We start from the raw sequence: 20347 nt of genomic DNA, 5'->3' as shown, positions 1-20347 counted from the left end.
TGCGCGGAACCCACCCTGGCCCGCTCCCCGCGCCCTCCACGGGTAACGGCCCCCTCTCTCGGTGCTCAGAAACCGGCGGTGTCGACAGGTGGCTCTCGCTTGGCCTCCTTGTCTGCAAGCCTTTCTCCTAGAGATCTGTGCCTCCTGGCGAACCATGGGAGACCTGCCGCCCTACCCTGAGCGCCCTGCCCAGCAGCCTCCGGGCCGGAGGACTTCTCAGGCCTCCCAGAGGCGGCACAGTCGGGACCAAGCTCAGGCCCTGGCAGCGGACCCCGAGGAGAGGCAGCAGATACCTCCAGACGCCCAGCGAAACGCCCCTGGTTGGTCACAGAGGGGCAGCCTGTCCCAACAGGAGAACTTGCTGATGCCCCAGGTCTTCCAGGCTGAGGAAGCCCGGCTGGGTGGCATGGAGTACCCATCTGTGAACACGGGCTTTCCCTCAGAGTTCCAGCCTCAGCCTTACTCTGATGAAAGCAGGATGCAGGTCGCCGAGCTCACCACCAGCCTAATGCTGCAGCGGCTCCAGCAGGGCCAAAGCAGCCTGTTCCAGCAACTGGACCCCACCTTCCAGGAGCCCCCAGTCAACCCCTTGGGCCAGTTCAACCTCTACCAGACAGACCAGTTCTCTGAAGGTGCCCAGCACGGGCCTTACATAAGGGATGACCCTGCCCTTCAGTTCTTGCCCTCTGAGCTGGGCTTCCCACACTACAGTGCCCAGGTGCCTGAGCCCGAGCCTCTGGAGCTGGCCGTGCAGAACGCCAAGGCCTACCTGCTGCAGACCAGCATCAATTGCGACCTCAGCCTGTGAGCAGGGGCTAGGAGTGGGGCGGGTGGGGGACCCAGGCAGGGAGGGGCCCCACCCGAAGTGCCTGCCTCAGTCAGTCAGACAAGGGATCATCCCTCATGGAAAACCAGTGACTCTAATTCAGCTGAGTCGGAATCAATGCCAACAACAGCTAGCATTCACTTCCCAGACATGTGCTGGCACTGCACACACTCACCTAATTCTCACCGGAGATGAGCACATCAGCTCATCCTACTTTACAGAGGAGGAGACCGAGACACAGAGAAGTTGGGTCGCTTACCCAAAACTACACAGCTAGGATATGGCAGAGTCAGGATTCCAGAACACGTGATTTGGCTCCCCAAGCCCTCTTGCTTTTTTTTTCCCCCAGACATAGTCTCACCCTGTCACCCAGGCTGGAGCACAGTGGCGTGGTCTTGGCTTAGGGCAACCTCTCCTTCCCAAGTTCAAGTGATTCTTCTGCTTCAGCCTCCCGAGTAGTTGGGGTTACAGGCGCGCTCCACTTCACCCAGCTAATTTTTGTATTTTTAGTAGAGGCAAGATTTCACCATGTTGCCCAGGCTAGTCTCAAACTCGACCTCAAGTGATCCGCCCATCTCAGCCTCCCAAAGTGCTAGGATTGCAGGCATGAACCACCGTGCCCAGCCCTCCTGAGACCCTCTTATCCTGCAACTAAACCTCCCTGCCTGAGGAAGATACTTGCCAAAGCCACTTAGCTACAGTCACAAAACACTGCTCTCAGCCTCCATTAGATACCCAGGATGCTCTCATTCTAGGAGAGTGGACAAGAAACAGAAAAAGTGATAAACTGAAGCTAAGGACTCAGGTGAAAAATAAGGGAGGCTAAGAGGGCTAGGGAACACATGAAATAGTGGGGGTCCAACCAGGTGCGGTGGCTCACGCCTGTTATCCCAGCACTTGAGGAGGCCAAGACGGGCGGATCACCTGAGGTCAGGAGTTCGAGACCAGCCTTGCCAACATGGCGAAACCCTGTCTCTACTAAAAAATACAAAAATTATCAGGGCATGGTAGCATGGGCCTGTAATCCCAGCTCCTCGGGAGGTTGAGGCAGGAGAATCACTTGAACCCGGGCGGCAGAGGTTGCAGTGAGCCGAGATCGTGCCACTGCACTCCAGCCTGGGCAACAGAGCGAGACTCCATCTCAAAAAAATAAATTGTGTGGGTCAGTGAAGGCCTGTCCAAGGAGGTGACATTTGATTAGGGCCCTGAAGGAGTCGAGGGAGAGCATCTTGCAGATGACCGGAGGAAGAGTGAGCCAGGCAGAGCACACTGCAAATGCAAAGGCTCTGAGGCTTGCTGTTTTTGAGGAGCAGTAAGGAGGGGCTGGTGTGTCTGGAACCAAGGGAGGAAGAGGGAGAGCGGGAGAAATGAGGTTGATGAAGTAATGGTTCTTATTAAAGCACAAAGCTGGCCGTGTCCCTCCAATGCTCAGAACCTGCTATGGCTCCCCATTGCCCACAGGGGGAAGCTCAGACTCCTCACCACAACCTTCAAGGCTCCTGGCCTGAGACATATAAGGCCTTGCTCATGCCTGTGATCCCAGCACTTTGGGAGGCTGAGGCAGACAGATAACTCGAAGTCAGGAGTTCAAGACCAGCCTGGCCAACATGGCAAAACCCTGTCTCTACTAAAAATACAAAAAGTTAGCCAGGCGTGGTGGCACACGCCTGTGATCTCAGCTACTCGGGAGGCTGAGGCAGGAGAATCACTTGAACCGGGAGGCAGAGGCTGCAGTGAGCCAAGATCGTGCCAGTGCACTCCAGCCTGAGCAACAGAGCGAGACTCTGTCTCAAACAAACCAACAAACAAAAGGCCTTACGTGGTTCAGCCCCTGGCCGCTGACCAAACTTGATTTCTAGTCACTACCTGCTCCTTCCTCGGATCCTAGAATCTAGTCAGAATTAACCTCTGGCTATTCCCCAAGTGCCAGCTCTTCAGAGCTTCAGGCTCTCTTCCTGAGAAGCCCTAGCCAAAGTCTCACCTCTTCTTACCCTTCCCAACTTCCATGATGGCCCAACACCACACCCAAGACTGCCAACAAAACAGCTTCCGCAAAGCAAAAGGTGACACATACATGCTTGGAAATCAGACCAACTTGGTTTCAAAGGCTGACTGTGGCCGGGCCTGGTGGCTCACGCCTGTAATCCCAGCAGTTGGGGAGGCTGAGGCAGGCAGATCACTTGAGTCCAGGAGTTTGAGACCAGCCTGGGCAACATGGCAAAACCCCATCTCTACAAAAAGTACAAAAATTAGCCAGGCATGTTGGCACACGTGTAATCCCAGCTCTGGGGAGTCTGAGGTGGGAGAATCACTTGAACCCGGGAACCAGAGGTTGCAGTGAGCCAAGACCGAGCCACTGCACTCCAGCCTGAGTGACAAAGTGAGACCCTGTCTCAAAAAAAAAATACAAAAAATACAAATGTTGGCCAGGCACGGTGGTTCACACCTGTTAACCCAGCACTTTAGGAGGCCAAGACGGGCGGATCACCTGAGGTCAGGAGTTCGAGACCAGCCTGGCCAACATAGTGAAACCCCGTCTCTACTAAAAATACAAAAATTAGCCGGGGATGGTGGTGTGCACCTGTAGTCCCAGCTACTCAGGAGGCCGAGGCAGGAGAATCACTTGAACCCAGGAACCCAGGAGGCAGAGGTTGTGGTGAGCCGAAATCACACCACTGCACTCCAGCCTGGGCAACAAAGCAAAACTCTGTCTCTAATAATAATAATAATAATAATAATAATAATAATAATAATAATAATACAAATGTTGGCCAGGTGCGGTGGCTCACGCCTGTAATCCCAACACTTTGGGAGGCGGAAGAAGGTGGATCACCTGAGGTCAGGAGTTTGAGACCAGCCTGGCCACCATGGCGAAACCCTCTACAAAAAATACAAAAAAATTAGCGGGACATGGTGGTGCATGCCTGTAATCCCAGCTACTTGGGAGGCTGAGGCAGGAAAATCGCTTGAACCCAGGAGACAGAGACTGCAGCGAGCTGAGGTCGTGCCACTGCACTCCAGCCTGGGCAACACAGCGAGACCTCCTCTGAAAAATAAATTAAAAAAATAAAATTGCAAACCTTCTCCCATCCCTGGCACCCCCAGGCCCCATTCAGTACTATATGTGTCACCCTAAAAATTACCACCCCATGCCTGACACACTGTATATATTTTGCTCGTTTGATTAGTGTCTGTTTCCACCATAAGAATGTCGGCAAGGCGCGGTGGCTCACGCCTGTAATCCCAGCACTTTGGGAGGCTGAGGCGGGCAGATCACGAGGTCAGGAGTTCGAGACCAGCCTGACCAACATGGTGAAACCCTGTCTCTACTAAAAATCCAAAAAGTAACCAGGCGTGGTGGCGGGCGCCTATAATCCCAGCTACTCGGGAGGCTGAGGCAGGAGAATTATTTGAACCCGGGAGGCAGAGGTTGCAGTGAGCCGAGATGAACCACTGCATTCCAGCCTGAGCAACAGAGCAAGACTCCATCTCAAAAACTAAATAAATAAAAATAAATAAATAAATGTCAGCTACACCTGGGCAGGGACCTTTTCAGTTCCCTACTGTGTCCCCAGCACCAGGCACAGGGCCAGGCACATGGGAGCCAGCTCAGTGAGCTGAGTGAGTGAGGTCCCTCTCCTCCCACTCCTCCTGCGGGAGGCAGGTACGAGCACCTGGTGAATCTGCTGACCAAGATCCTGAACCAGCGGCCTGAGGACCCCTTGTCTGTCCTGGAGTCTCTGAACCGCACCACGCAGTGGGAGTGGTTCCACCCCAAGCTGGACACGCTGCGGGACGACCCCGAGATGCAGCCCACCTACAAGATGGCGGAGAAACAGAAGGCGCTGTTCACCCGGAGTGGAGGCGGCACTGAAGGCGAACAGGAGATGGAGGAGGAGGTGGTGAGTGAGCCAGTCAGGAGAGGTGGGCATCAGGGTCAGTGGGGGCCCAAGCATACTTAGGGCACAGCCTGTGCCAAGGCCTGGAGGCGAAAGACAGCATTGCACAATCCAGTCACAAAACAACTTCAGTCTTGGCAGGATGGGGTGGCTTACATCTGTAACCTCAGCACTTTGGGAGGCCGAGGTGGGCAGATCACGAGGTCAGGAGATCAAGACCATCTTTGCTAACATGATGAAACCCCGTCTCTACTAAAAATATAAGAAATTAGCCAAGCGTGGCAGCAGGCACATGCAGTCCCAGCTACTCCGGAGGCTGAGGCAGGAGAATGGCATGAACCCAGGAGGCGGAGCTTGGCAGTGAGCCGAGATCACACCACTGCACTCCAGCCTGGGCAACAGAGCGAGACTCTGTCTCAAAAAAATAAATAAATAAAAATAAATAAATAAATAAAAATAATTGAGATGGGGGTCTTGCTATGTTGGCCGGGTTGGTCTTGAACTCTTGGCCTCAAGCCATCCTCCTGCCTCGGCCTCCCAAAGTATTAGGATTACAGGCGTGAGCCACCACTCCCAGCCAAGAGCTGGAGTTCTTAATGTGGGGTCTGTGGAAGGGCAAAACTGGGGGCTTTTGTGGCCTGTACATGCTTCTAGGAAATGACTCATAAAAAATGCATGATTCAGCATTTTGTGTTTCTTTTTCTGTCAAGGCAAGGCTCTTATTTCTCTCGTTTTCTGTCTTCCAGACGGCTAGCCAGGACCTTGAATGGCATTTATGCAATAAACCATTCCTTCCTGCCCCCCCACTGCTTTGAAATGCCACCTGCACCATCTGCTCCCCACACAGGGTCCTGCAGGAGTCTCTGCTCCCGGCCTTTGCTCTGTGGATGGCTTCCTGCTCTAGGACTCTCCTGTTTACTGCTGACAGCAGCTGCACGGCAGGTGTTGCTGTTTTGGTAGCATAATTCTCCCCATCACTGAACCTCTGTTTTGAAAAGTTTTGACTAGCCGGGCACGGTGGCTCACGCCTGTAATCCCAGCACTTTGGGAGGCTGAGGCGGGTGGTTCACGAGGTCAGGAGATCAAGACCATCCTGGCTAAGTGAAACCCTGTCTCTACTAAGAATACAAAAAATTAGCCGGGCATGGTGGCGGGCACCTGTAGTCCCAGCTACTAGGGAGGCTGAGGCAGGAGAATGGCGTGAAACTGGGAGGTGGACATTGCAGTGAGGGGAGGTCGCACCACTACACTCCAGCCTGGGCGACAGAGCGAGACTCCATCTCAAAAAAAAAAAAAAAAAAAAAAGGCCAGGCGCAGTGGCTCACACCTGTAATCCTAGCACTTTGGGAGGCCGAGGCGGGTGGATCACGAGGTCAGGAGATCGAGACCATCCTGGTTAACACAGTGAAACCCCATCTCTTGTAAAAATACAAAAAATTAGCCAGGCGTGGAGGCAGGCGCCTGTAGTCCCAGCTACTGGGGAGGCTGAGGCAGGAGAATGGCGTGAACCTGGTGGGCGGAGCTTGCAGTGAGCTGAGATTGCACCACTGCACTCTGGCCTGGGCAAAAGAGCGAGACTCCGTCTCAAAAAAAAAAAAAAAAGCAAAAAACAAAAAAAAGAAAAGTTTTGACTATTCTCGGCCGGGCTTGATGGCTCACGCCTATAATCCCAGCACTTTGGGAGGCCGAGGCAGGTGGATCACCTGAGGTCAGGAGATCGAGACCATCCTGGCTAACACGGTGAAACCCCGTCTCTACTAAAAATACAAAAACAAAATTAGCCAGGCGTGGTGGCGGTCACCTGTAGTCCCAGCTACTCAGGAGGCTGAGGCGGGAGAATGGCATGGACCCAGGAGGCGGAGCTTGCAGTGGGCTGAGATTGAGCCTCTGTACTCCAGCCTGGGCAACATAGTGAGAGTCTGTCTAAAAAAAAAAAAAAAAAAAAAAAGATAAGTTTTGACTATTCTCACATCTATAATTTTATTTTATTATTTTATTTTTTCCATTTTTTTTGAGATGGAGTCTCATTCTGTCACGCAGGCTGGAATACAGTGGTGTGAACTCAGCTCACTGCAACCTCCACCTCCCAGGTTCAAGTGATTCTCCTGCCTCAGCCTCCCGAGTAGCTGGGATTACAGGTGCCCGCCACCATGCCTGGCTAATTTTTGTTCTTGTTTTTGAGACGGAGTCTTGCTCTGTCGCCCAGGCTGGAGTGCAGTGGCACGATCTCAGCTCACTGCAACCTCTGCCTCCAGGGTTCAAGCTATTCTCCTGCCTCAGCCTCCCGAGTAGCTGGGACTACAGGCTGTGCCACCACGCCTGGCTAATTTGTTGTATTTTTAGTAGAGACAGGATTTTGCCACGTTGACCAGGCTAGTCTCGAACACTTGACCTCAGGTGATCTGTCCGCCTCGGCCTCCCAAAGTGCTGGGATTACAGGCGTGAGCCATGGCGCCCGCCCACATCTATAATTTTAGACTAACTTTAGGATTATTTTGGCACATTCCAAAAACTAACACCTTATTTTACTTGTTTGACAACATAGGTCCCTTTAAGTTAGGATATAGATGATGTCAGATAAATAGAAATAAGTGACTTGGATGAGTTGGTCATTTTTCTCACACAGAATCGTCAGGTGTAGTCTAGGACTGGTAAGGTCCTAGTCTTGCAAGGTGGCTCTGCAGTGAAGGGCACTGAGAGCTGCCTATTCCCCACACTCCCAGGCTCCCTAGCTGTCCCTAAACAAAGAGAGCTGTTTTCAGCATCACAGTATCTTGGTTATAAATCCCATCACTGGTTGGGTGCAGTGGCTCACGCCTGTTATGTCAGCACTTTGGGAGGCCAAAGCGGGCAGATCACCTGAGGTCAGGAGTTCGAGACCAGCATGGCCAACATGGTGAAACCCTGTCTCTACTAAAAATACAAAAATTAGCCTGGCGTGGTGGTGTGCACCTGTAGTCCCGACTACTCAGGAGGCTGAGGCAGAAGAATCGCTTGAATCCTGGAGGCAGAGGTTGCAGTGAGCCGAGATTGTGCCACTGCACTCCAGCCTGGGCAACAGAGCGAGACTCCGTCTCAAAAAATAGTAATGGGCCGGGCGCAGTGGCTCACGCTTGTAATCCCAGCACTTTGGGAGGCCAAGGTGGGTGGATCACAAGATCAGGAGATCAAGACCATCCTGGCTAACATGGTGAAACCCTGTCTCCACTTAAAATACAAAAAATTAGCCGGGCATGGTGGTGGGCGCCTGTAGTCCCAGCTACTTGGGAGGCTGAGGCAGGAGAATGGCGTGAACCCGGGAGGCGGAGCTTGCAGTGAGTTGAGATTGCGCCACTGCACTCCAGCCTGGGCGACAGAGCAAGACTCTGTATCAAAAATAATAATAATAATAATTTTTAAAAAATAATAATAATATGCCAGGCACAGTGGCTCAGGCCTGTAATCCCAGCATTTTGGGAGGCCAAGACGGGCGGATCACGAGGTCAGGAGTTCGAGACCAGCCTGGCCAACATGGTGAAACCCCATCTCTACTAAAAATACAAAAATTAGCTGGGTGTGGTGGTGCACGCCTATAATCCCAGCTACTGGGGAGGCTGAGGCAGGAGAATGGCTTGAACCCAGGAGTGGAGGTTGCAGTGAGCTGAGATCAGATCACTGCACTCCAGCCTGGGTGACAGAGCAAGACTCTGTCTCAAAAATAATGATAATAAATAAATAAATAATAAAGATTTTGGGACTGGTTGAATAATAAAGTGTTGGGGACAGCCTTGTGGCCACATGGATAGGGGCTGGCAGGCATTTCCCTGGGAGAAGGAAGAGCATTGGTGTGTGGCCCGTGCAGATGTACATTACACTTCTTCTTTCTCTGGCTTCTGAGCCAAAACTTGGCCGGCCTCCTTTTTTTTTTTTTTTTTTTTTTTTTTTTTTTTTTTTTTGAGACAGAGTCTCACTCTGTCACCCAGGCTGGAGTGCAGTGGTGCAATCTCCACTCACTGCAAGCTCCACCTCCCAGGTTCATGCCATTCTCCTGCCTCAGCCTTCCGAGTAGCTGGGACTACAGGCGCCCACCACCACACCCAGCTAATTTTTGTATTTTTAGTAGAGACCAGATTTCACCATGTTGGCCAGGATGGTCTCGATCTCCTGACCTTGTGATTTCCCTGCCTTGGCCTCCCAAAGTGCTGGGATTACAGGCGTGAATCACTGCGCCCAGCCATAAACTTTGCTGGCTTCTAGTTTCAGCCTGCTTGCCTTCAGTCCCTTTCTGAGCCTCTGTCTTTCTGTCTTTCTCTTTCTTTCCTTCTTCCTCTTTTTCCTCCTCCTCCTCTCCTTCTTTCTTCTCCTCCACCCCACCCATCCTCTGGCTGTGTGAATCAAGCACACGGTATAGATGGAGGCAGTGAAGACAGGACTTATTACCATCCTCTAACATCACTGACTCCTCCGTTCGAGACCTGTCTTCTCCCTTAACTTTCTGTGAAACATGGAGTATGTGTTAGGAGTGCATTGGGCCTCAAGTCACAGAAATCATGAATAAAAGTGGCTTCTTTGTTACAGGAGCAAGAAGGTCAGGGTGGGTAAGGCAGCTGAGCAATGCTACTGGGGACCAGGCAATTTCCACCTTTCATCTCCACCACCATTAAGGGTGTAGTACTTTGTCTCCCATGTGTTGCCTCATGGTCCCAAGATAGCTGCTGTGGCTCCAGATCTTATATCCCCATTCCAGGCAGGAAGAATAGGGAATGACAAAAGGCAAGAAAAATTTTCTCCTAGTGTGGTTTTCCCTTTTCTTCTCCATCAGGGACATCCTGTCCAAGGGCTTTCCCTACATCTCACTGGCCAGCACAAGTGGCCTGAGCAGCTGAGTTACAGAATCTTTTAGGTTTCTTTCTTTCTTTCTTTCTCTTTTTTTTTGAGTGGGAGTCTCACTCTATCACCCAGGCTGGAGTGCAGTGGTGTGATCTTGGCTTACTGCAACCTCCGCCTCTCAGGTCCAAGCGATCCTCCTGCCTCAGCCTCCCAAATAGCTAGGATTACAGGTGCCTGCCATCACGCCTGCCTAATTTTTGTATTTTTTGTAGAGACGGGGTTTCACCATGTTGGCCAGGCTGGTCTCAAACTCTTGACCTCAGGTGATCTGCTTGCCTTGGCCTCCCTAAGTGCTGGGATTTCAGGCGTGAGCCACCACATCAGGCCTCTTTTTATTTTTTGAGACCGTGTCTCACTTTGTTGCTCAGGCTGGAGTGCGTGGAGCAATCTCAGCTCACTGCAACCTCCGCCTCCCCGGTTCAAGTGATTCTCCTGCCTCAGTCTCCTGGGTAGCTGGTATTACAGGCACCTGCTTTTATGGCTGGCTAATTTTTGTATTTTTAGTAGAGACAGAGTTTCACCATGTTGGCCAGGCTGGACTCGAATTATTGACCTCAAGTGATCAGCCAGCCTCGGCCTTTCAAAGTGCTGGGATTACAGGCGTGAGCCACTGCACCCGGCCTCTTTTAGCTCTCTTGACTCTAGAAGAGTCTGGAAGAGGTAGGCTAGGGAGCAGAGCTTCAGCATTCTCCCCTCTGCCCTCCACCCTACCCTGCGCAGGGGGAGACACCAGTGCCCAACATCATGGAGACTGCCTTCTACTTCGAGCAGGCCGGCGTCGGCCTGAGCTCGGACGAGAGCTTCCGCATTTTCCTGGCCATGAAACAGCTGGTGGAGCAGCAGCCCATCCACACCTGTCGCTTCTGGGGCAAGATCCTGGGAATCAAACGCAGCTACCTGGTGGCCGAGGTGGAATTCCGGGAGGGCGAGGAGGAGGCAGAGGAGGAGGAGGTGGAGGAGATGACGGAAGGTGGCGAGGTCATGGAGGCGCACGGCGAGGAGGAGGGCGAGGAGGACGAGGAGAAGGCCGTGGACATCGTCCCTAAGTCCGTATGGAAGCCGCCGCCCGTGATCCCCAAGGAGGAGAGCCGCTCAGGCGCCAACAAGTACCTGTACTTTGTGTGCAACGAGCCGGGCCTGCCATGGACGCGGCTGCCCCACGTCACTCCAGCCCAGATCGTGAACGCCCGAAAGATCAAGAAGTTCTTCACAGGCTACCTGGACACGCCAGTCGTCAGCTACCCACCCTTCCCGGGCAACGAGGCCAACTACCTGCGGGCCCAGATAGCCCGCATCTCGGCCGCCACGCAGGTCAGCCCGCTGGGCTTCTACCAGTTTAGTGAGGAGGAGGGCGACGAGGAGGAGGAAGGTGGTGCTGGGCGCGACTCCTACGAGGAGAACCCGGACTTCGAGGGCATCCCCGTGCTGGAGCTGGTCGACTCCATGGCCAACTGGGTGCATCACACACAGCACATCCTGCCGCAGGTGAGCGCCGGGACTCCCGCCTCTCACAAACGGCAGGAGCAGGGGGCTCACGCATGACCCTGCAATACTGACATCAAGCTCTTACTCTCTGCTGGGCAACTAATATTCATTCGTTCATTCATCCATCCATTCATTGGTTCAACAGATATTAGCGGATAATCCCATCAGAAACCTTTGGGGACAGAGGCATTTTTTTTTCTTTTCTTTCTTTCTTCTTTTTTTTCTTTTTCTTTTCTTTTCTTTTCTTTTTTTTTTTTTGAGACAGAGTCTCGCTCTTGTCACCCAGGATGGAGTGCAGTGGTACGATCTCGGCTCACTGCAACCTCCACCTCCTGGGTTCAAGCGATTGTCCCGCCTCAGCCTCCTGAGTAGCTGGGATTACAGGCACACGCTGCCACACCTGGCTAATTTTTTGTATTTTAGTAGAGATGAGGTTTCACTGTGTTGCCCAAGCTGGTCTCAAAGTCCTGAGCTCAGACAATCTGCCTACCTTGGCCTCCCAAAGTGCTAGGATTATAGACATGAGCCACTGCGCCCTGGCTGGTTTTTTTTTTTTTTCTTTTCTTTTCTTTTTGAGACAGAATTTCGCTCTTGTTGCCCAGGCTGGAGTACAATGGCGTGATCTCGGCTCACCGCAACCTCCGCCTCCCTAGTTCAAGCGAATTCTCCCACCTCAGCCTCCCAAGTAGCTGGGATTACAGGCATGTGCCATCACGCCCAACTAATTTTGTACTTTTAGGAGAGACAGGGTTTCTTCATGTTGGTCAGGCTGGTCTCAAACTCCTGACCTCAGGTGATCTGCCCGCCTCAGCCTCTCAAAGTGCTGGGATTACAGGCATGAGCCACCATGCCCAGCTTTTTTTTTCTTTTAAGACATAGCAACTTGCTTTGTTGCCCAGGCTGGCGTGCAGTGATGAGATCATAACTCACTGCTACCCTGACCTCCAGGGCTCAAGCAATCCTCCCACCTTAGCCTCCCGAGTAGTTAGGACTACAGGCACATACCACCACAACTATGCCTGGCTTTTTTTTTTTTTTTTTCTGAGACGGAGTCTCGCTCTATTGCCCAGGCTGGAGTGCAGTGGCGTGATCTCGGCTCACTGCAAGCTCTGCCTCCTAGGTTCACGCCATTCTCCTGCCTCAGCCTCCTGAGTAGCTGGGACTACAGGCGCCCGCCACCATGCCCGGCTATTTTTTTTGTAGTTTTAGTAGAGATGGGGTTTCACCGTGTTAGCCAGGATGGTCTCTATCTCCTGACCTCGTGATCCGCCCGCCTCAGCCTCCCAAAGTGCTGGGATTACAGGCGTAAGCCACTGCTTGGGAGGCTGAGGTAGGAGAATGGCGTGAACCCAGGAGGCGGAGCTTTCAGTGAGCCACTGCACTTCAGCCTGGGCGACAGAGCCAGACTCCATCTCAAAAAAAAAAAAGAAAAGAATCAATGAGTGGGCCAGGTGCAATGGCTCGCACCTGTAATCCCAGCACTTTGGGAGGCCAAGGCGGGTGGATCATTTGAGGTCAGGAGTTCGAGACCAGCCTGGCCAACTTGGTGAAACCCCGTCTCTACTAAAAAATACAAAAATTAGCCAGGCGTGGTGTCAGGCACCTGTAATCCCAGCTACTCAGGAGGCTGACGCAGGAGAATCACTTAAACCGGGAGGCAGAGGTTGCAGTGAGCCAAGATTGTGCCACTGCACTCCAGCCTGGGCCACAGAGTAAAACTCCATCTCAAAAAAAAAAAAAAAAAAAAATTCAATGAGTGAATGAATGCATGAATGGGGGTCGCACAGTCAGGAGTCCTCACCTCAACACAGCAGTTCTGTCAGCCCGTTTCCCACCTCCCCTTAGCTGTGCGGCTAAATCTTGCCCTCTTGCCTGTGCCTGGGTCTCTGAGGACAAGGCTATGCCTGTTGGCCCTTCACCTCCCCCACAGGAGGCAGGCTGGGTTCCGTGCACTGGGGCCATCACCTGAGCTTCCCCCCACCCCCAGGGCCGCTGCACTTGGGTGAACCCTTTGCAGAAGACAGAGGAGGAGGAGGACCTGGGGGAGGAGGAAGAGAAGGCAGATGAGGGGCCAGAGGAGGTGGAGCAGGAGGTTGGCCCCCCACTGCTAACGCCACTTTCAGAAGATGCAGGTAAGGAAGCCCTCTCAGCCTGTACACCACTGGCTGGGGAGGGCTGGGAAGAAAGGGAGGGGTGGCTGGACTGCTGGGGTCCATCTCCCCGGTCCTTCCCTCCCAGGCTCAGAGGCTCTCTCAGCTAAAAAATGGGTGTAATCACAGTGGCCCCATCAGGAGGTTCTGGGAACATGTCCATAGACACGTGGCAATGGCCTAAACCTTAGGATATGGCCTTTTGAGTTTGGGCCTGGAGGGAAGGGGATGTAGTTGGGGAACCCTGCCTAAAGACTGGAGCTGGGTGTGTGTGTGCATGTGTGTGTATGTGTGTGTGTGTGTGTGTGGTGGTGGTGGTGTTGTTGTCATTGTTGTTGTTTTGAGATGGAGTCCAGCTCTGTCACCCAGGCTAGGGTGTAGTGGTGCAATCTTGGCTCACTGCAACCTCAACCTCTCGGGTTCCTGCAATTCTCCCGTCTCAGCCTCCTGAGTAGCTGGATTGCAGGCGTGTGCCACCACGCCCAGATAACTTTTGTATTTTTAGTGGAGATGGGGTTTCACCATGTTGGCCAGGCTGATCTCGAACTCCTGGCCTCAAGTGATCCACCTTACTCGGCCTCCCAAAGTGCTGGGATTACAGGCAGGAGCCACTGTGCCCAACCTGGAGCTGGATTTTGGATGAATGGACAGGAATTTTTTAAGGTTGGGGCCTCAGGCACCCGGAGGGAAGTGGAGAGAGAGGCTAGGAGTGGGCCAGGGGACAGGTCCTGGATTTGAAGCCAGATCCTGCCAGCCTGTGCCCTTCCCTCTGCACCCTGGTCCAAACCGATGACCAACTCGGGAGTGGAATCACAGTGGCTTCCCAGTCTGGAGGCCCTGCTGGGCGCCAGGCACTGCAGCAGGTGTGCTGCAGACCTTGTCACCAGGCTTCACTGCCACCCTGCAACAAAGGCCAGATGAGTCTCCCCATTTCCTGGGTGCAGCCACTGAGGCTCAGACAGGTGAACTGGCTTCCTGGGGCCACATAGAGAAAGAGTGGTCCAGGCCAGGCGAGGTGGCTCACGCCTGTAATCCCAGCACTTTGGGGGGCTGAGGCGGGTGGATCACCTGAGGTCAGGAGTTCGAGACCAGCTTGGCCAACATGGTGAAACCCTGTCTCTACTAAAAATACAAAAATTAGCCGGGCGTGGTGGTGCATGCCTGTAATCCCAGCTACTCGGGAGGTTGAGGAAGGAGAGTCGTTTGAACCTGGGAGGCAGAGGTTGCAGTGAGTCGAGCTCACACCACTGCACTGCAGCCTGAGTGACAAAGCGACGAGACTCTGTCTCCAAAAAAAAAAAAAAGAGAGCGAGAGAGAGAGAGAGAGTGTGTGTGTGTGTGTGTGTGTGTGTGTGTGTGTGTGTGTGTGTGGTCTGCAGCGAGGGTTCAAACACCGCAGCCCGAGCTGTTGGTGGCTATAGTTCCCCTCATGCCCCTCCAGGCCTCCCTCACTGCTGCCTTCCTTCCTTCAGGGTGCAGTGCAGGGCCTGGGGGCCTCCCTGACCCTGCTGCCCCCCTCTGCTGCCTCTCCACCACAGAAATCATGCACCTGGCACCCTGGACCACCCGCCTGTCCTGCAGCCTCTGCCCGCAGTACTCAGTGGCCGTTGTGCGCTCCAACCTCTGGCCCGGGGCCTATGCCTATGCCAGTGGCAAGTAGGTCTTCCCCCAGCCCCTCCCAGCAGGAGAATCTCTCAGGACTTCTTCAAGCCTGGTTGGGCTGGGCAACTCGCCAGGGTGGGCAGAGATGGGGAGGGCCCCCTTCAGGAAGCCCCAAGGACTAATGCCCTCATAGCTCCTAGGAGTTTCACCAGGGCTAAAGTGGGAAATACCAGCCCACTAGGATGGGTCTTGGTGATGAGTCATGATGAGAGCAAGGAGAATAAGAGAGTGGGAGGGACTGGCTATGGTCACACAGCACTTGCAGGATACGAACCTGGATCTCCAGCCCCCTGATGACAGCAGCAGAATCCCTCTCTGGAGGAGCTAACTCCGTCCCTGGGGTCCCCTGGACAGTTCTTCTTGTTTGTGGTTTTGTTTTGTTTTGTTTGAGATGGAGTCTCGCTCTGTCACCCAGGCTGGGCAACAGTGCAGTAGTGCGATCTCAGCTCACTGAAACTTCCGCCTCCCAGGTTCAAGTGATTCTCCTCCCTCAGCCTCCCTAGTAGCTGGGACTACAGATGCATGCCACCATGCCTGGCTAATTTTTGTATTTTTAGTGGAGACAAGATTTCACCATGTTGGCCAGGCTGGTCTCAGACTCCTGACCTCGAGTGATCTGCCCGCCTTGGCCTCCCAAAGTGCTAGGATTACAGGCATGAGCCACCGCACCCGGCCTGTTCTTCCAGTTGGAAGGCTTTTCTCTCTATGGGGCAGAAACCTTCCCTCCCACCACCAGTTGTTCCAAAAAGAATGGCAAGCTTGGGCCAGGTGCACTGGCTCATGCCTGTAATCCCAGCACTCTGGGTTGCCAAGGTGGGAGGATTGCTTGAGCCCAGGAGCTTGAGACCAGCGAGAGGAACACAGTAAGACACTATCTGTACAAAAAAAAAAATTAAAAAAATTTTTAAAATCAGCCCGGCATGATGGCACGGACTACAGAGTCCCAGCTACTTAGGGGGCTGAGGCAGAAGGATTGCTTGAGCCCAGGAGATCGAGGTTGCAGTGAGCTGTGATTGCACCACTGCACTCCAGTCTGGGCAACAGAGCAAGACCTTGTCTCAAAAAACAAACAAGAATGGCAAGCCAAAGTCACTCCTACATCCTCCCACCCAGCTACACACTCCCCACAGTCCTTCAGCCTTCCCCCGCAGGCACCTGGCAGCCCTCTGCCCTGCTGCGTGACAGGGGGTTTGCCGCTGGAGGTGGGCGCACCTACCAGCTTTGTCCACCAGATGGCATGATGATTTTTCCTAGAATTTCGTTTTTAATCTCAATGTGAACTGGGACTGTATTCGCTCCTGTATGAATCACAGCCGTGGTGGGATTGCATGTAATCTGGATACTTTAACACATTCCTGGCATTTATTTTTTCCTTCTCTGGAAGCTGGGAAGAGGCACGTTTGCTTTTGCCAACTCCCTTCTTCAGGCTATACCCTGATATGCCAACATTCCTCTGAAAGCAAATGATACAAACTTGAGGCTCCACTTGTCCATCCATCCTCTGCCCCCACCCACCCAACGCTCTTCTGTCCCCCACCCAATCTGTGTCCACCCATTGTTCCATTGTTTTTGTTTTTCTTTTCTTTCTTTTTTTTTTTTTTGAGATAGAGTCTCGCTCTGTTGCCCAGGCTGGAGTGCAGTGGCGCGATCTCGGCTCACTGCAACCTCCGCCTCCCGGGTTCATGCCATTCTCCTGCCTCAGCTTCCCAAGTAGCTGGGACTACAGGTGCTCGCCACCATGCCCAGCTAATTTTTTTGTATTTTTAGTAAAGACGGGGTTTCACCGTGTTAGCCAGGATGGTCTCAATCTCCTGACCTCATGATCCGCCCACCTCGGCCTCCCAAAGGGCTGGGATTACAGGCGTGAGCCACCGCGCCTGGCCTTTTTTTTTTTTTTTTTGAGATAGGGTCTCTCTCTGTCACCCAGGCTGGAGTGCAGTGGCGTGATCACGGTTCACTGCAGCCTCCACCTCCTGGCCTCAAGCAATCCTCCCACCTCAGCCTCCCAACATACTAGGATTACAGACGTGAGCCACTGTGCCTGGCCTCATTTTTAAATTTTTTCTTTTTTCTTTTTTTTTGAGATGGAGTCTTATTTTGTTGCCTAGGCTGGAGTTTAGTGGTGCGATCTCAACTCACTGCATCCTCCGCCTCCCAGGTTCAAGCCGTCCTCCTGCCTCAGCCCCCCTAGTAGCTGGGATTACAGGCATGCACTACCGTGCCCAGCTAATTTTTGTATTTTTAGTAGAGATGGGGTTTCACCATGTTGGCCAGGCTGGTCTCGAACTCCTGACCAGGTGATCCACCCACCTCAGCCTCTCAAAGTGCAGGGATTACAGGCGTGGGCCACCATGCTTGGCTCTCTCTGCCTCTTTATCAGTCTCTGTCTCCCTCTCTCCCTACCTCTTAGTCCCCTCCCTTTCCTCCCATCTATTCCTCTTCCTTCTCTAGTTAAAATTCTGCAGAAAGGCTGAATTCGCTGGGTTATGCCTGGGCACTTACCTCCTTGTTCATTATCAGTCTCCTCTTAGCAGAATGTAGGCACAACCCAGGGATTTTTTTTTTATTTTTTGAAATGGAGTCTCGCTGTGTCGCCCAGGCTGGAGTACAGTGGTGTGATCTCAGCTCACTGCAACCTTCACCTCTTGGGTTCAAGTGATTCTTATGCCCCAGCCTCCTGAGTAGCTGGGACTACAGGCGCCCACTACCACGCCCAGCTAATTTTTGTATTTTTTGTAGAGATGTGGTTTCACCAGGGTGGTCTCGAGCCCCTGACCTCAGTTGATCCTCCTACCTCGGCCTCCTAAAGTGCTGGGATTACAGGCCTGAACCACCGCACCTGGCAGGGAGTTTTGTCTAGTTTGTTTACTGCTGTGTCCCCAGCACCTAGACAATTTTATTTATGTCCCACATGATATGTTGGACATAAATAAAGTGTCACAATATAAATAAATTGATATCCAACATAAAATTATGTCTCACATAAATAAAATATGAGCCACATATATAATTTAATTTTTTTTGTTATTTTTAGTTACTTATTTCTTTTTTTTTTTTTTGAGACAGAGTCTCACTCTGTCACCCAGGCTGGAGTGCAGTGGCGCGATCTTGGCTCACTGCAAGCTCCGCCTCCCAGGGTTCACGCCATTCTCCTGCCTCAGCCTCCCCAGCAGCTGGGACTACAGGCGCCTGCCACCACGCCCCACTGATTTTGTTTTTGTATTTTTAGTAGAGACGGGGTTTCACCGTGTTAGCTAGGCTGGTCTCGATCTCCTGACCTTGTGATCCGCCCGCCTCGGCCTCCCAAAGTGCTGGGATTGCAGGCGTGAGCCACTGCGTCCAGCCTAGTTACTTATTTCTTGATTTATTTTGAGATACGTTCTCACTCTGTCACTCAGGCTGGAGTGCAGTGGCATGATCACAACTTACTGCAGCCTCAAACTCCTGGGCTCCGGCAATCCTCCCCCCTCAGCCTCCCCAGTAGCTGGAACCACAGGTACGTGCTACTGCAACTGGCTAATTTTTAAACTTTGGGAGGTGGAGGCGGCAGATCACTTGATGTCAGGAGTTCAAGACCAGCCTGGCCAACATGATGAAACCCCCTCTCTACTAAAAATACAAAAATTAGGCCAGGCATGGTGGCTCATGCCTGTGATCCCAGCACTTTGGGAGGCTGAGGCAGGCAGATCACTTGAGGTCAGGAGTTTGAGACCAGCCTGGCTAACATGGTGAAACCCCGTCTCTACTAAAAATATAAAAATTAGCTGGGCGAGGTGGTGTGTGCCTGTAGTCCCAGCTACTTGGGAAGCTGAGGTGGGAGAATCACTTGAACCCAGGAGGCAGATTTTGCAGTGAACCCAGGAGGTGGAGTTTGCATCCAGCCTGGGTAATACAGAGGAACCCAGTGAGCACATTTCACCCTGCCATCCACAACTTTGCAGTCATGCTATGCACATGCTGGGTCCTACCCTTAAAGAAAGTCAAGGCTGGCCAGGTGCGGTGGCTCACGTCTGTAATCCCAGCACTTTGGGAGGCCGAGGCGGGCAGATCATGAGGTCAGGAGTTCCAGACCACACTGGCCAACATGGTGAAACCCCATCTCTACCAAAAATACAAAAATTAGCTGGGCGTAGTGACGCGTGCCTGTAGTCCCAGCTACATGGGAGGCTGAGGCAGGAGAATCGCTTGAACCTGGGAGGCAGAGGTTGCAGTAAGTCGAGATCACACCACTGCACTAGGCAACAGAGTAAGACTCCATCTCAAAAAAAAAAAAAAAAAAGTCAAGTCTGGGGCCTTTGAGGGAGAATTTCACAGTGTCTCACTGCTTCTCCAGAAAGTTTGAGAACATCTACATCGGCTGGGGTCACAAGTACAGCCCCGAGAGCTTCAACCCGGCCCTGCCAGCCCCCATTCAACAAGAGTACCCCAGTGGCCCAGAGATCATGGAGATGAGTGACCCCACAGTGGAAGAGGAGCAGGCTCTGAAAGCAGCCCAGGAACAAGCCCTGGGAGCCACAGAGGAGGAGGAGGAGGGCGAGGAGGAGGAGGAGGGCGAGGAGACAGATGACTGAGGCCCACCCTCTAGCCACTTTCCCCAAGCAGGTAGATAGCAAATTTCCCCTTAGAGGTAGTTAGCATGGATTATATTTTCACTATGTGCTTCCTGTCCCCAGAGGGCAGGGATAGAAAAGGAAGGCAACTGCTTCAAATAAAATTCCTCCACGGCATTATGGATGAGCCATTCATTCATTTGTTCACCACCTCTGTTGACATGGACTCCAAGCCAGGGCTGTTGGGCCCTGCAGAGAGCACAGACATTGCCTGGCAGAGTCTCTCCCACCTGTTTGGTTTTTGTTGTTGTTGTTTGAGACAGGGTCTCATTCTGTCACCCAGGTTAGAGTACAGTGGCACAATCTCAGCTCCCTGCAGCCTTGACCTCCTGGGCTCAAGCAGTCCTCCCATCTCAGCCTCCGGAGTAGCTGAGACCGCAGGTGCACATCACCACATACACTAATTTTTGTATTTTTTGTAGAGACAGGGTCCTGAGTAACTAGGACTGCAGGCACAGCCCACCATGCCCAGCTAAATTTTTTCAATTTTTCAGAGTCTCACTATGAGATGGGGTTTATGTTGCCCAAGCTGGTCTTGAACTCCTGGCATCAAGCGATCTGCCTGTCTTGGCCTCCCAAAGTGTTAGGATACAGCTGTGAGCCACCGCGACCAGCCCCACCTGTTTTATTTATTCATTTACCTAGCCATCAAACCATTATTGAAATACCTCCTGTCAGCCCACCCCTGTGCTGGGGACACAGACAGCTGCAGTCCTGCCTTCCTGGACCTCACAACACTATAGGGAGAGAGACTCATTTCCAGACAGTGACAGCCCAAATGGGGAAGCCCAGAGGACTGACAGAGCTCCCGAGCCAACTCTTAAAGGGTCAAGAAAAGAATGGGGA

At 52.7% G+C, this 20347-nt stretch overlaps 1 protein-coding gene across 2 annotated transcripts, besides 5 other annotated features; it reads left to right on the top strand.

Moving 5' to 3' along the window:
• Positions 1 to 22: 22 nt before the first annotated feature.
• Positions 23 to 19618, top strand: RSPH6A (radial spoke head 6 homolog A). Of its 2 annotated transcripts, none has more exons than NM_030785.4 (6): positions 23 to 804; positions 4491 to 4728; positions 10315 to 11079; positions 13067 to 13211; positions 14768 to 14885; positions 19225 to 19618. In NM_030785.4, exons 1-6 carry the CDS (start codon positions 155 to 157, stop codon positions 19460 to 19462), a joined length of 2154 nt encoding a protein of 717 aa, NP_110412.1. In that variant the 5' UTR covers positions 23 to 154; the 3' UTR covers positions 19463 to 19618. The 2 variants fall into 2 exon arrangements, with proteins under 2 accessions (NP_110412.1, XP_011525653.1); XM_011527351.3 differs by having other exon boundaries at positions 19206 to 19317.
• Positions 4211 to 5078: an enhancer, noted in NCBI's record as "H3K27ac-H3K4me1 hESC enhancer chr19:46313511-46314378 (GRCh37/hg19 assembly coordinates)". NCBI's record gives its function as "activates a minimal SCP1, AML or CMV promoter by ChIP-STARR-seq in naive H9 embryonic stem cells {active_cell/tissue: H9 hESC(naive)}" and the evidence as "EXISTENCE:reporter gene assay evidence [ECO:0000049][PMID:30033119]".
• Positions 4211 to 5947: a biological region, named in NCBI's record as "MED14-independent group 3 enhancer GRCh37_chr19:46313062-46314261".
• Positions 4328 to 5527: an enhancer, noted in NCBI's record as "MED14-independent group 3 enhancer chr19:46313062-46314261 (GRCh37/hg19 assembly coordinates)". NCBI's record gives its function as "activates an origin of replication core promoter dependent on BRD2, BRD4, P300/CBP and CDK7 cofactors, and independent of MED14, by STARR-seq in HCT116 cells {active_cell/tissue: HCT116}" and the evidence as "EXISTENCE:reporter gene assay evidence [ECO:0000049][PMID:35650434]".
• Positions 5079 to 5947: an enhancer, noted in NCBI's record as "H3K27ac-H3K4me1 hESC enhancer chr19:46312642-46313510 (GRCh37/hg19 assembly coordinates)". NCBI's record gives its function as "activates a minimal SCP1, AML or CMV promoter by ChIP-STARR-seq in naive H9 embryonic stem cells {active_cell/tissue: H9 hESC(naive)}" and the evidence as "EXISTENCE:reporter gene assay evidence [ECO:0000049][PMID:30033119]".
• Positions 13585 to 14446: an enhancer, noted in NCBI's record as "H3K4me1 hESC enhancer chr19:46304143-46305004 (GRCh37/hg19 assembly coordinates)". NCBI's record gives its function as "activates a minimal SCP1, AML or CMV promoter by ChIP-STARR-seq in naive H9 embryonic stem cells {active_cell/tissue: H9 hESC(naive)}" and the evidence as "EXISTENCE:reporter gene assay evidence [ECO:0000049][PMID:30033119]".
• Positions 19619 to 20347: the final 729 nt, after the last annotated feature.

This window comes from Homo sapiens, chromosome 19 (assembly GCF_000001405.40).
Source record: "Homo sapiens chromosome 19, GRCh38.p14 Primary Assembly".
NCBI lineage: Eukaryota > Metazoa > Chordata > Mammalia > Primates > Hominidae > Homo > Homo sapiens.
Note: the sequence above shows the minus strand (reverse complement) of the source record. Positions and strands in the feature narration are given on the sequence as shown.